The 14,702-nt window shown below is 37.2% G+C and overlaps 1 protein-coding gene across 2 annotated transcripts in view; it reads right to left on the bottom strand.

Moving 5' to 3' along the window:
• Positions 1-14,702, bottom strand: part of PREX2 (phosphatidylinositol-3,4,5-trisphosphate dependent Rac exchange factor 2) — a 284,987-nt gene that overhangs the window by 84,256 nt on the left and 186,029 nt on the right. For both annotated transcript variants that reach the window (NM_024870.4, XM_047422267.1), the window contains exons 33-34: positions 14,260-14,362; positions 6,425-6,568 (exon numbers count right to left, since the gene is read on the bottom strand). In NM_024870.4, coding sequence (NP_079146.2) covers positions 6,425-6,568; positions 14,260-14,362 — 247 coding nt within the window. The remainder of the gene's footprint in view (positions 1-6,424; positions 6,569-14,259; positions 14,363-14,702) is intronic.

The raw sequence follows: 14,702 nt of genomic DNA, 5'->3' as shown, positions 1-14,702 counted from the left end.
TAGTGGCTGCTAGAAGCTCTGCCAGGAGATGAGCAGGGACCCCCATCCCCTTGCTGGTCAGTGTTTCCAGGGAAATCCAGGCCTTCCTTGTGCCTCAGTCAGCCTGCGGGCCTCCTGAGCTACTCACCATGGTTTGTTCCCCCTCTCTTTTATGTCTGCCTGTGTGCATTGAGTATATTTGCATGATTGTTGGTGTGTGAAATCCTTGCAATAAACTATGAATTTGAAAGCATTTAATTGGCCATTGAGTCGTCGTGAAACCTCCCATCCTCCTCCAATAGGAGCTGGCACAACTAGGCTGATTGGAACCGTGCTGTCTGAAGAGAGGTGGGTTTACACCTTCCCACAGACTCCTAACATTTTGGAAATCTCCATCCTGGAAACGATTTCTTCTTTTGTAAAAAAGCTATATTGTTTCAATTATAAATATTGTGTAAAACCCAAATGGAAAACTAAAAGATTTATCTTTTTTTTTTTTTTTTTTTTTCTCTGAGAGGGAGTCTCGCTCTGTCGCCCAGGCTGGAGTGCAGTGGCGTGATCTCGACTCACTGCAAGCTCTGCCTCCCGGGACACCATTCTCCTGCCTCAGCCTCCCCAGTAGCTGGGACTACAGATGCCCGCCACCAGGCCTGGCTAATTTTTTGTATTTTTAGTAGAGACGGGGTTTCATCGTGTTAGCCAGGATGGCTACGATTTCCTGACCTCGTGATCCACCCACCTCAGCCTCCCAAAGTGCTGGGATTACAGGCGTGAGCCACCACGCCTGGCCAAGATTTATCTTTTAAAGAGCCTTAAGAAGAGTTTAGGAGAAAAAAAATTGAATAAAGGGCACTTAGAAAATGACAATGTTTATAACAAAACGTCCCCTTTCATTTAAAAGAGAAAGCACTCAAGTTTCTATGTGATTTTTATTATTCTCAGAGCAAAGAAAGATACCTTGTCAAGAGGTAAGACTTAGGGGTGGTTGGTTTGGGTGGCAGCTTTTTTTTTTTTCATAGGAGGTTAAAAAAAAGAGAATACTCAAGAGCATGCTGGCAGAGAAAAGACCAGCATCACATATCCTATTTGGTTTAAGGCAAACTACCATCAGGAGACCCAGGAAATAGGTATTTAACAACACTTTACAAGGAAGGGATGCTATACTTCAGGACACTTTATATTCACTATATATATTCAAAGACCTGTATATGATGCCACATTCCTGAGAGGTAGAATACCCAGGTCCAGGAACCAAGGGTGAAAGCAGAAATGACCGTGCTTAACATCTGTCGAGGTTTGTATGTGCCCACAAAAAGAGATGACAAAGTCCTAACCCCTTGGGGCCTACAAATGTGGCCTTATTTTTGGTTTTGTTTGTTTTGAGATAGGGTCCCACTCTGTTGCCCAGGTTGGTGTGCAGTAGTGCTATCATAATTCACTACAGCCTCGGCCTCTTAGACTCAAGTGATCCTTCCACCTCAGTCTCCCGAATACGTAGGACTACAGGTGTGTGCCACCAGAACCAGCTAATTTTTTTTTTTAAGAGATGAGGTCTCACTATGTTGCCCAGGCTGGTCTCAAGTTCCTGCGCTCAAGTGATCCTTCCATCTTGGCCTCAGAAAGTTCTGGGATTACAAGTGTGAGCCATCACATTCAGCCCTGACCTTATTTTGAAATAGGGTTTTTGCAGATGTAGCCAAATTAAAATGAGGTCCTACTGAATTATGATAGGCCCAAATCCAATGATTGGTGCCCCTATAAGAAGAGGGCAATTTGTATGTAGAAACACAGAGACAGACACACACAGAGGGAAGAAGACCGTGTGAGGATAGGGGCAGAGATTGTAGTTATGCTGCCACAAACCAAGGAATGCCAAGGACTGCTGGAAGACACCAAAGGCCAAAAGAGGAAGGAGGAGGCATGGCCTGACAACATCCTGATTTCCAACTTCTGACCTTCAGAACTGTGGCAGAATACATTTCTGTTGTTTTAAGCCACCGAGCTTGTGGTAACTTGCTAGGGCAGCACTGGGAAATGAACGCATCATTTCCAATGACTCACTTGGGTAATGTGAGCTTCCAATCCCTGAAACACTTGGTCTGTGGGTTTCCAAGGCACCCACAGCCAAGAAGATCAATCGCCACCTTGGCAAAGCTGCTCCACCCTAATCATCAGAAGCAGGTAGGGCTATTGTTACACAATGGGAGCCAGAAGGAATACGTTTGGCACCCAGGTATCTACTGGGGTCCCTCTTAGTACTTCCTTGCACAAATTTGATGATAAATGGACAACTGCAATAATCCTGGTCTGAGAAGGGTAGAGTAATCAGAGGATCAAGCCCCTCCGGGATGAAGGTATTGGTCATGCCACAGCTTAGCCACAGAGACCAGCAGAGGTTCAGACAGAGGGTGAGGCTAATCTACAATGGGTAGCAGAAGAGGGAAAGTGAGACTCTGTGGCAGCTGTAGACAAGCTGGGGCTGCAAGGGCTATAGCGAATCCTTTTAATTTTTCTCTCCTAAATTATCCCCTCCCCCATCCAGAAAGGAGGCCCAGGGGAGTCCTGGAAAAGCCTCTCCCAGTCCCTACACAAAGACATGGGTCTGACAGGTGCAAAGCATGGACTACAGAGGATGCTCAAAGAGCCACTGGCTCAGATCCTCTCTCAGAAATGATGGGCTCATTGCCCGGCTGCTGTGATAGCCGCAGCAGACATCTCTCAGCTGTTCACTCTCCAGCCTTTGCTGGAGAAAACTATCCCACTAAGATCACACCTCCTCCTAAGGACAGCCTGCATCCTAACAACCTAACATGCAGAAATATTTTATATTGTTCCTGGACCCTTTGCTTCAGCTCCCCAGAATCTAGACATGCTGAACATTTGTAAGATGAATTAGTCTAATTAAATAAAGATTAGCTGGATAATTGCACAGCGTTTCATAATCCACACAGACCTAGAGTGGTTTCTCACTTTTGGTGGACTCCAGAATCACCTGGAAAGCTTCTAAAATATCCTGGTATTTGGGCTCCACTTCTCAGAGATTCTGCCTTAATTGATTTTGCATGGGGCAGAGCCTGGGTATTCTCTAAAACCTTTCCAAGATCATTAATGTGCAGCTAAGTACTGAAAACCACTGACAGATCAGGAAATTTAGTCAGTGGGGAGCGTGTAGAGAAGTGGCCCTGAATATTTATCCTCTTTGTACTCTCATTTTCTGCCAACTTATAGTTGCTTGCTTTATCTCACCAAGGGCTGAGGGATCCCAACAGCATTCCCTGTCCTGTAGGAAGCACTTAGGAATACCAGCCAGAAGATTGTTTTAGTGTGATTGGCACACTCTAGCAGTTTGGTTGGTTATGCTTTGCACTTACTTTCCTGACCAGCTGTTTCTGTGTTCCTTACCTTGAAAATCTGTATCACTTTTGTCTGCCTAGGTTCCTGTTCTTCCGCAGTTCTTGCCTTCAGCAATACACATTGGCCGCCAACCCTGCTCACTTCCAACCCTGAAATTCCTGATCTAATAGCTGGTCCCATCTCTGAAGGATGCCCCATCAACTACTGTGCCCTCCTTTTCCCAGTGATCCATGGAGGCAAGGAAAATGAGAAAGGGGTGACGCATTTGCTTCCTGTTCTACTCTGAGTATATGGTACCACAGACAACTTTAGGAGGGTTGACTTTAGTAAATTTCCTAGGAAAATTTCAAATTCATCCATTTCTTCTATTTTTTTGCTAGCAAAGAGTCATGTATATACAAAACTAAAATGCTTTAAATAAACTTTCATTCCAGGAAGAGATGACATTTGGAATCTCTTTCATTTACCACTGCCTTCAATTACCAGATGGTAATCTCTACTCAAACTAGGTCTGATTTTCCTGTACTTCTCTCAATCTATGAATACTAAGCTACTAATGATTCCTCATGGGAGTTTTATAAAGGCAGAAGAACTTCTGCACCCCCGTTAAATAAACAACTTTATCACTGACAGATTTTTAATGGTACAGAATGTTTTCCATCTTGTTTACCTATCTGTGACCTCAACTGTAGAAGTATTTCTACTGTTACTTATTCAAATCATTTTTCATATTTTGCTGCTGTGAGCATACCAAAACCTAATGTTTGCTATAGCTTTTCTTTAAATTACATTTTAAAAGCTATAGTATATTCACTGAAATAAGACATATTTAGGGATTATTTTTAAATTGGCTTTTGCCAAAGTTATAAAATAGAGGTTGCTTGCAAAATAATTTTTTGCCTATGTGTACATTTGCTGTTGGATATGATTATTCAGCTATTTATGGCTGATGTGTCATAGATGCAATAATTTTTTTAAAGATGCTTAGTGCCATCTGTCATCTCAGTAATAATTTCAAAGTCAAAATTTTTAAGAAGAGAGAAATAAAGGAAAAGAGAGAAATAAAGGAAAAGAGTCTTTAACAATTGTAAGTCCTGGCTAAACCCTGTAAAAGTTAACATTCCAGACCAACGTCCATCCCTATCTTCTCAAACTATCTATCCCTGTAGTGGCTATTTATTTATTTATTTATTTATTGAAGCAGAGTCTCACCCTATTGCCCAGGCTGGAGTGCAGTGGCATGATCTCGGCTCACTGCAACTTCTGCCTCCCAGGTTCAAGCAATTCTTGTGCCTCAGCCTCCCGAGTAGCTGGGATTACAGGCGCATACCAACACACCTGGCTAATTTTTGTATTTTTAGTAGACACAGGTTTCCACCATGTTGCCTGGGCTTGTCTCTAACTCCTGACCTCAGGTGATTCACCTGCCTCGGCCTCCCAAAGTGCTAGGATTACATGCGTGAGCCACCGCAACTAGCCCAACATATTTTAGATTAAATTATTCTTCTAACTTGTCTCCAAAGGTCCATTTTTGCCCACTGCTTCTTTTTTTGTTCTCTTCCTTTTCATTATAGAATCTGGATTACCTACACTGACCCTGTCTATAAATCACAGTCCTCCAAAGAGAAATGAAAATACCTTCTAGTAACTCCTAAAATCATCTCTTCACTGCAATCTTCATCTGTTAAAATGTATTCCTGCCAAGTATATTTGAGGTACTCACAGTTTTTAAACTATGGTAATTGAATTCAGGGTTTTAAAATAATATGCACGTGGTATGTATTAGTCTGTTTTCATGCTGCTGATAAAGACATATCCAAGACTGAGCAATTTACAAAAGAAAGAGGTCTAATGGACTTACAGTTCCCCATGGCTGGGGAGGCCTCACAATCATAGTGGAAGGTGAAGGGCAAGTCTCACATGGTGGCAGATAAGAGGAGAGGGCTTGTGCATGGAAACTTCCATTTTTAAAGCCATCAGATCTCGTGAGACTTATTCACTATCACAAGAAGAGCATGGGAAAGACCCACCCCCATTATTCAATTACCTCCCACCAGGTCCCTCCCACAACACACGGGAATTCAAGATGAGATTTGGGTGGGGACACAGCCAAACCATATCATGGTATAATGCAAAATTTTCATTTAGTAGTGAATTTAGATTTCATATGCCTGTCCATTCTTTAGTTATATAGATAGATACATTTTATTCCCTCTACTCTTCTCATTTTTTATTAGAGCATTGAAATTCCACAGCAAAACCAATGTAGTTCTTGAAAACTCAAAAGAAGAAAAAAATAAAATTCCCTATGGTATCATTCAGAGAAACTGATACAATCTTGTGACATGACACACATTTTTTTTAGAATGTGGAGGGAAATAATAGACTAGAGGACACGCCACAATAATCAAGACTTCTGATCTTTTTTAGGTAGCATTTTATGACCCCAAAATAAGAAAGATTCAAGACCTTCCCTCAGAAACAGAGCTCACTACAAGAATTTTCTTGCTCATGCTAACCTTAATTTATTCTACTGCAGATGTTGATAGTCACTCTTGGAAAAAACAAAATGACAAAGGAATATATATTTTCTGACCAAAAAGAAAAGTTGACATAAAGAATTTTAAAAGCATCAATTTAACCACCCATTGATACTGAAAACATTTAACATACATATATGTAGGTATAGACATACATGTGTGATATAATTGAGACTAAAGTATAAATTCTGTTTAATAATCTGCATGCATATATTAACTTTTTCTATCTCATAAAATATTTTAACCATGAAACTGTAATGATTTTACCATAATTTAACTTACTTAAGCAGTTTATTTAACCCAAATTATTTTATCTTTATCTACACCACTCATGTCTTATTTCTCCACTATAAATAATGCTGCAACTGTATTTGGTAAATATTTAAATCATGCATTATTTCCTTAATAAACATTCCCAGAAGCAAATATATTGGCTAAATAATATTTTCAAATTAATTTAAAAATCCCAACTGTTAAAATCACATTTATAAAAGCATTAATAAAGATAAAATAATTAAAGTATAGCAGCCATCAAAAGAGAAACAGTTTACCTTGTGCAAAAAGAACAGGATGAATTTTAAACCCTCCTCCATTTTTCAGCCGTTGAGGAAGTTGTTCAAAATGATAACTATCAATGTAGAAGTAAACTTTCAGAGCTTGCCGACTTCCTTCTGCTTGATATGTAAGAGGAACATCTAAAATGATATTTAATAGTATATTACTTCCTAAAATAAGGATATGCTAGATGGTACTTTTGTTAACTTTCAGAAAGAATCCTGAGAATTACTCGACACCAATATATTAAACGTGATCATGTTTATCAAGTTGGGATTCGACATACAGTGCTATTCAGTGAAAGTATTAAATCAGTTCTCAATAGTTAAAGCAATGGATGTGTTACTATATTATAAAAATTCCATAATAGGAAACTTTGTTACACTTTGACATATCAGATGTCTCACTTAACTAAATGAGGTGTTTAGCTACACATAGTTTGGAATCAAAATCTCCCAGGGCAGCTGCTTCATTCACATTTTAGTCAGAATGAGTCCTTGGGGTATACTTCTTAAGTAGTGTGCAAGAAATTGAGTACATAGCAACCACTATCAAAATTAGCATGGGTTCTGCAAGCTCTATTCCCTGAGCACCAGATCGGAAATATATTAGCCTTTGTTGATGCCCCACAGTCATTAAAAATTGTCCCAAGTCTTGTAGCTATTTTCAAAGATCCTAAATTTAATTACTTAAAAAAAAACCAATCAACTTGAAAACTAAATTTCAGTCGGAGTATTTCACAATGCTACCATAAATCCTCTCCATTTGATGATACTTATCCATGACAAATATTTCTGTCTCACTAGAAAAGAATGTAAAATCATCCTAAAAGGCTGAATAGTCATAATAACCAGTTAAAAATTAAGGACAAACAAATGTAATCGGCATTTAATACATGTTCCTCACTCAGTATTTATAACTTCTGACCTGCTTCTTGAAATAAAACTGTATATAAAAGTAGAGTTCAAGGTTAAATGGCATTTATGATCACAGATTCCAGGCTCCTTATTAAATCTATCTATTTAATTCTGCATACCAATATGGGAAACATGACATTAACATCTATTTATCTCCTTTATGCCATATAAAGTACTTATTTTATTTTTGTTACTATTTTTTAAATGAAGACATGAAGCATTCGATTTAGAAAAGAGAATGAACAGATTTCTCACCCAAAGGGTTGAAAATTAATAGCATTTGAATAATTGGGAAAATCTTTTTTTTCTGATTTCTAAAATAAAGACTAAAAGAACTATGGACACTAAAGAAAATACAGATTTATACCTACTAAATATCCGTATCCTCTAGTTCCCCTTTTCACACACTGTCTCACATATATATTTTAATTTGTGTTAAATTCCATACCCTTCATCTTTGGCATCAATATAGGCAACCTCTATGCTAACAAATGGATAATGTTATTGAAAGAAAAATAGTGATAATGATACAACAGTTGGAGTTTCATATTATAGAACTAACATAGAACAAATAAAGATGTTATATTAGGAATCAAGGAACTAAAACTTAATGAAAATTATAAAGTATATTAATTTAAAGTGAAGTTCAAACTAAGAGCACTAAAACTCCTGGGATCAAGTGATCCTCCAGCCTTGGCCTCCCAGAGTGTTGAGATTACAGGCATAAGCCACCACACCCAGCCCATTACCACTCCTCTCAACATCATACTGGAAGTCCTAGCTATTGCAATAAAACAAGACAAGAGAAAAGAAACTATAATGATTGGGAAAGGAAAATATCAACAAAAAACTGCTCCTGGAACTAATAAGCAATTATAGCTAGGTTTCAGGATACAGGTTAATATAAAAAAGTCAATTCCTTTCTTATATACCAGCAGTGAACAAGTGGAATTTGAAATTAACAACATAATACCATTTATATTAGCACCTCCCCAAAATAAAATACTTAGGTATAACTTTAATAAAATATTACAAGATCTATATAAGGAAAACTGAAAAACTGATGAAAAAAATTTTTAAGAACTCAGTAAATGGAAAGACATTTTATGTTCATGGATAGGAAGACTCACTATTGTCAAGGTGTCATTTCTTCCCAGCTTGATGAACAATGTCAGTGAAACACCAAGTAAAATCCCAACAGGTTATTTCTTGGATAGTGACAAACTAATTCTAAAGTTTATATGAAAAGGCAAAAGACCCAAAATAGCCAACATAACATAGAAAAAGAAGAACAAAGTTGGAAGACTGATACTCCTTTAATTTAAGACTTACTATAAAACTACAGTAATGAAGACAGCATGGTATTGGCCAAAGAGCAGACAAATAGATCAATGAAATAGAACAGAGAGCTCAGAAGCAGTCCAACATATATATAGTCAACTGATCTCTGACAAAGGAGCAAAGATAATACAATGGAGCAAAGATAAGTCTTTTCAACAAATGTTTCTGGAAGAACTGGGCATCTACATGCAAAAACATAAATCTAGATACTCACATTATATCCTCCACAAAAATTAACCCAAAATGAATTATAGACTTAAATATAAAATGAAAAACCATACAATTCCTGCCAGATTATGTAAGAGAAAACTTAGATGACCTTGGAAATACTGATGACTTTCAGAAAGAACACCAAAGGCACAATCCATGAAAGAAATAATAAGCTATATCCCATCAAATGTAAAACTTCTGTTCTGCAAAAGACATTGTCAAAAGAATGAGAAAACAAGCAACAGACTGGGAGAAAATATTTGCAAAAGACACATCTGATAAAAACTGTCTTCCAAAATACACAGATAACTCTTCAAACTCAACAATAAGAAAACAAACAATCAAAGTGTGTTAATCCATAAAAATGTCTGAGTGAGTAATTTTTAAAGAAAAGAGGTTTAATTGGTTCATGGTTCTGCAGGCTGTACAGGAAGCAAGATGCTCACATCTGCTCAGCTTCTGAGGAGGCCTCAGGAAACTTATAACCATGGCAGAAGACGAAAGGGGTAGCAGGCACATCATATGGCAAGAGCAAGAGAGCAAGCTGGGACATGCTACACACTTTTAAACAACCAGATCTCATGAGAACTCATTATCATGAAGACAGTACCAGGGGGAAGGCACAACATCATTCATGAGAAATCCACCCCCATGATCCAATCACCTCCACCAGGCCCCATCTCCAACACTGGGGATTACAATTAAGCATGAGATTTGGGTAAGGACACACATCCAAACTATATCACCAATTTTAAAAATAGGCTAAAGACCTCAACAGACAACTCTTTCAAGAAGATATAGAGATGGCAAATAATCATATGAAATGATGCTCTTATCATTTGTTATAAGGGAAATGCAAATTAAAACCGTACTGAGCTACCACTATACACTCATAGAGGGGCCAAAATCCAGAACACTGACAACACCAAATGCTGACAAGGATGTGGAGTGATAGGAGCACTCATTCATCACTGGAGGGAAAAATGCAGATTTTCCACAAAATAAATTTCATGATATAAAATTTAATCCTTTAGCTAGTTTAGTCCTCTCTCACTAATTAAATAATATGATATGGGAGTACCTTGTAGTTTCCTTATCACTAAAGTGGTTAAATTGCCCATTTATGCCTTTGTATTTCTCACCAGTCTCCATGCACATAGCCACTCTGGAAAACAGTTTGGCACTTTCTTGCCAAACTAAGAAGCTCTTAACATACGATCCAGGAATCATGGTCCTTGGTATCTACCCAAAAGAGCTGAAAACTTATATCCACAGAAAAACCTGCACATGTGTGTTTATAGCCACTCTTCATAATTGCCAAAACTTAAAAGCAACCAAGATGTCCTTTGAATGGATAAACTGTGGTACATCCAGCCAATGGAATTTTCTTCTGTACTAAAAAGAAATGAACTATCAAGCCATGAAAAGACATGAAGGAAGCTTAAATGCATATTCCTAAGTGAGAGAAGACAATCTGAAAAGCTACCTACTGTACGATCCCAACTATATGATGTTCTGAAAAAGGCAAAACTATGGAGAAAGTAGAGAAAATCAGTGGATGCCAGGGGTTGGGTGCAGAGTGGGAGGGAGGAGGAATGAACAGGCAATCCATATGGGATTTTAGGGCAGTAAAAATACTCTGTATGATACTATAATGGTGGATACATGTCATTACACATTTGTCCAGATCCAGGGAATGTAGAGCTCCAAGAGTGAATCCTAATGTAAACTATGAACTTTGAGTGATTTTGATGTGCTAATATAGGTTCACTGATTTTAAGAAATGTGCCTCTATCGTGAGGGCTATTGATAGCTGGGGAGGCTGTACATGTGTAGGGACAGGGGTATGGAAAATCTCTGTACCTTCCTCTCAATTTTGCTGTGAACCTAAAACTGCTCTAAAAATATAAAGGCTTTTTAAAAAGTGCATAATACTAATGTGGAGTTGAAAATTGTTGCCTTTTATTTGTGGAAATTTATTAGCTATAAAAAACAAACTTGATAATTAGGACTATATAATATTTAAAAGTTTCAAAAAATTGCAAGAGGAAAAGGTCTCTGGTAGCATCCTATAGAGGGATTCATCCCACAGAGGAGTTTCAACAGTGCCATCCCATCCTTGTAAACATAGCCTCTAATCATTGAATGGGCCCGTGAGTTTCAAAATAAGTCTTTGACTAAGAAGCTGTTAGTTCCCTCTGCCTTGGTTGCTCTTCCCTGACTTTCTGCAGGGTTGGGTCTTTCTTATGCTTCAGATCTCAGCTTAAAAGCTACTTCTGCAGAGAATCCTCCACCAGTCACCCCTTGAAGGGCTGCCTCGCCTTTTTTCTTTATGCATCTGCTTATTTCCTTCATAGGATTTATCACAGTTTTATTTTTATATTGATTTCTTATTGATTGTTGATTATTCATTCCTCATTCATTATTGATTCCTAATTCCTTATTCCCAACTAGGCTGTCAGCTCCATGAAGACAGGAACCATGCATGTCTCATCCATGATGGCACCCACACCTCCAGGCACAATGCCTGGCCCATATAAGGATAGTGGGGACTCAAACATATTCATTCTCCTAATAATGAACTACTATAAAATGACCCATATGACCATTGAAAAGGAGAAGACCTGCTGTCATTACATTATTCTCCTAAACTGATGCAGATTTTCCACAAAATAAATGTAATTATAGACAAACTTACCATTTAGCTAGTTTATTACTCCTTCACATTGTGTGAAGCACCTCGTATTTCCCTTATTACGAAGTGGTCAAATTGCCCATTTACTTCCTTGTATCTCTCATTAGTGTCTAAGTTCCATGCCAAAAAAGCCTTGTTTAATTTGCACACCATGATATCCCTAGAACTTGGTTCAGTACTTAGCATGTTATATATATTTAATAATTATTTCTTCAATGAAAATGAACTGTCTTTAATCAAGATATTTGACTTCTACTTGCTTGGCATGCCATAATTCTTCAGAATCTCATTATTCTTTTCATGCAAAAGTGAGATTATAGGCGATGCTATAAATATAGCTTTTGAGAAGAATGCAAAGTAATAAAGTAAGAAGGATGAATTCAAATACTTACTGAATACTAGTATAGCCATATGTAATGCTAGAGTCTTTCAAATACATTATCTTATTTAAGTCCCTCAACCCTGTGAGTTAGGGAAAGCTATAGTTCTCATGCTTAAAGATAAGAATGAAGCCAAGATTCGGACCTGGATTTCTTGACTTCAAAGCCAATGGTGTCTTTACACCTTCATGCTTCCCCATCTCTGTGCTTAGTCCTCCCTCAAAGGCATGCAGCCAACTAGTCTCCATCCCAGTGATACAGGATTAGTGAATCTGACTTCTCCACATCTAAGTAACAGAAAGATCAAACTACATGCAATGCATAATAAAGCTTCATTTTCTTACACCACTTAAATAAGATGTGATGACCTCTGAATACAGAATAATTCTCTTATTTCCTGCATCAACTTAAAATAAGAATTATATTCCTATCTTCGCTGTTTTTAGTGTTCAATAGTGCAGCATTGGAACCAGCCCCTCACTAGAGAACTATTTTCAGAAGTTGAGGTTACGCTTTGAAGAGACACATTAAAATGTATTGCCAAATATATTCAGAATGCCTGTATCTGTTATAGTGACATCTACATTTACATACTATTATTGCTTACATGGTCCCAATTATTTTTTATATTTAGTGTGTGTTCCAAAGTTAAGTCTTTCACAGTAGATATGCAGTAAGGAAGTATTTTATCAAGCTTATGATATTGGTTCTTCTCCTACTTGTTCAACAGACCATTTGCCAATAATGTCATAGGAGAACCATGGAAAACAGTACTCCTATGAACTTACAGTTCCTCAGGCAAAACTTTAAACAACATATCAGGTTATATCACAAAAATAGAGTTCTCTCTGCCTTCAGCAAAACTATGCCCACATTATTCAAGTAAATGAAAATATATCCTATTCTATACATATCCACAGAAAACCACACAATTTGTTCAAATAATATTATCCTTATCAAATACCCTCTGCCAGAAAAATTCTTGAATAAATATAACCTAAATTTCTAACTTTGTGCTTCTTGTTCTCTTCCTCATTCATCAGAGGAAATGAAACTTTAATAATATTCTGTTCTATTTTCATAAATTAAACAGCATTGACATTGCTTTATTTTTAAATAATCTCCACAGCTACCCTCCAGGCCAAGTCACCATCCTCTCCCACCTGGGAGAGGTAGCTTTCTAACTGATCACTGGGCTTCTGCCCTTGGTCCTAGAATAGTCTATTTAACACAGCAGTCAGAGACAGCCTTTTAATATGGAACACACATCCCGTAATTCATCAGTTCAATGTCATGGTTAGGAAGCAAAGCTCTTTCAACAGCTGGCATGCCCTTCATAGTCTGGCCTCCTTGCTGTTTCCATCTCTTTTTCTGTTCCCCTCACTTGCTCCACTCCACCTATGCAGGCCAACTTCCTATCCTGAGAGCATGCCATGTCTGCTCCCAGCCTCAGAGTCCAGTGAGCCTGGGACACTGCTCCTCCGATATCGCCATTACTCCCTCAACCTTTTCAGGGCCTGCTCTCCTTTTAGGTAAAGATTCCTTGCTACCCCATTCATTATCTGCAACCTTCCATCTGCCCCTTCATTGGTATCCTTTGCTCTCTTTTGTTTCCCTATATATCTTTCACATAATTGCCTTCTAATTTATTATAAAATTATTTTGCCTATTATTTATCTCTCCTCACCTTAACTTAAGCCCCATAAGAGATATCTATCTGTTTAGTTCTCTACTGAATCCAACACCAAGAATAGTCTTGGCAAGAAGTAGGCATTTAAGGAGCTTTTGATACATGAATAAATGAGTGATTATCATCTTAAGTCAGATCATGGATCAAATGAAAATGTATGGAGTCCTTATTTATTGTACTGGACATTAGGAATGTGAGAAATAAAACCTGAAGAAGCTTACACCTTCTAGCCTAATACACACGATACTCATACTTTTGAAAAAACAAGAGACATATAAAAATAATAACAAACTACTGAAGATTTCTTAGACTGATAGATATATTTTAACTATATTTATGGGAATGTGGAAATAGTAGATAATGATAACTTGCAGAAAGTAAAAGATATGGACATTAAACCATACATATTGCTACTTATCTGAATATATAACTTTTAAAATACTGCCTTTGTCAGATTAGTGATGGAAAATTTCTAAATCAAAAGGATACATTTCAATCATTCAGTTCATAAAATACTTATCAAATATATTAATACCAAAGTTATATCATATATAATTATTTGATGCCAAATAAATTTTGTAAATACCTAATTACTTACTTGCAACCAGAGGTTCCTCTTCTGATGGTTTAAAGTAAAAGGAAACCTTTTCCAAATCAAATAGTGCAACCAGTGTATCTTCTAACATGGCTTGTTCATCTGTCTACAAAGAAAGAAAAACAATATATAATACAAGATGATATAAAGCAATATAACGTAACATGACATAATGTAAATTCAGACCAAAACAACTTTGCTGTGTTTTATTTATATACAGGTACAAAACAAAATTATAAAGACTTCTGTAATAATTTACTGCCCAAAATGAAATGAACAAATCTCTTAAAGTTACAAGTTTCTTTTATGGTTTTATATTTTCCCTTTTCTCTATTGTTTAAATGGTTATGTTATACACACATTTTTCAGTCTATTATGTAGCTGGATTCTAATCATATTGATTTCATTTATTATTTACAGAACACAAAAAGCATGCTATTTGCATC

The sequence above is a fragment of the Homo sapiens genome, chromosome 8, assembly GCF_000001405.40.
Source record: "Homo sapiens chromosome 8, GRCh38.p14 Primary Assembly".
NCBI classification, from domain to species: domain Eukaryota; kingdom Metazoa; phylum Chordata; class Mammalia; order Primates; family Hominidae; genus Homo; species Homo sapiens.
The sequence above is the reverse complement of the archived record's forward strand: the minus strand, read 5'-3'. Positions and strand labels throughout refer to the sequence as shown.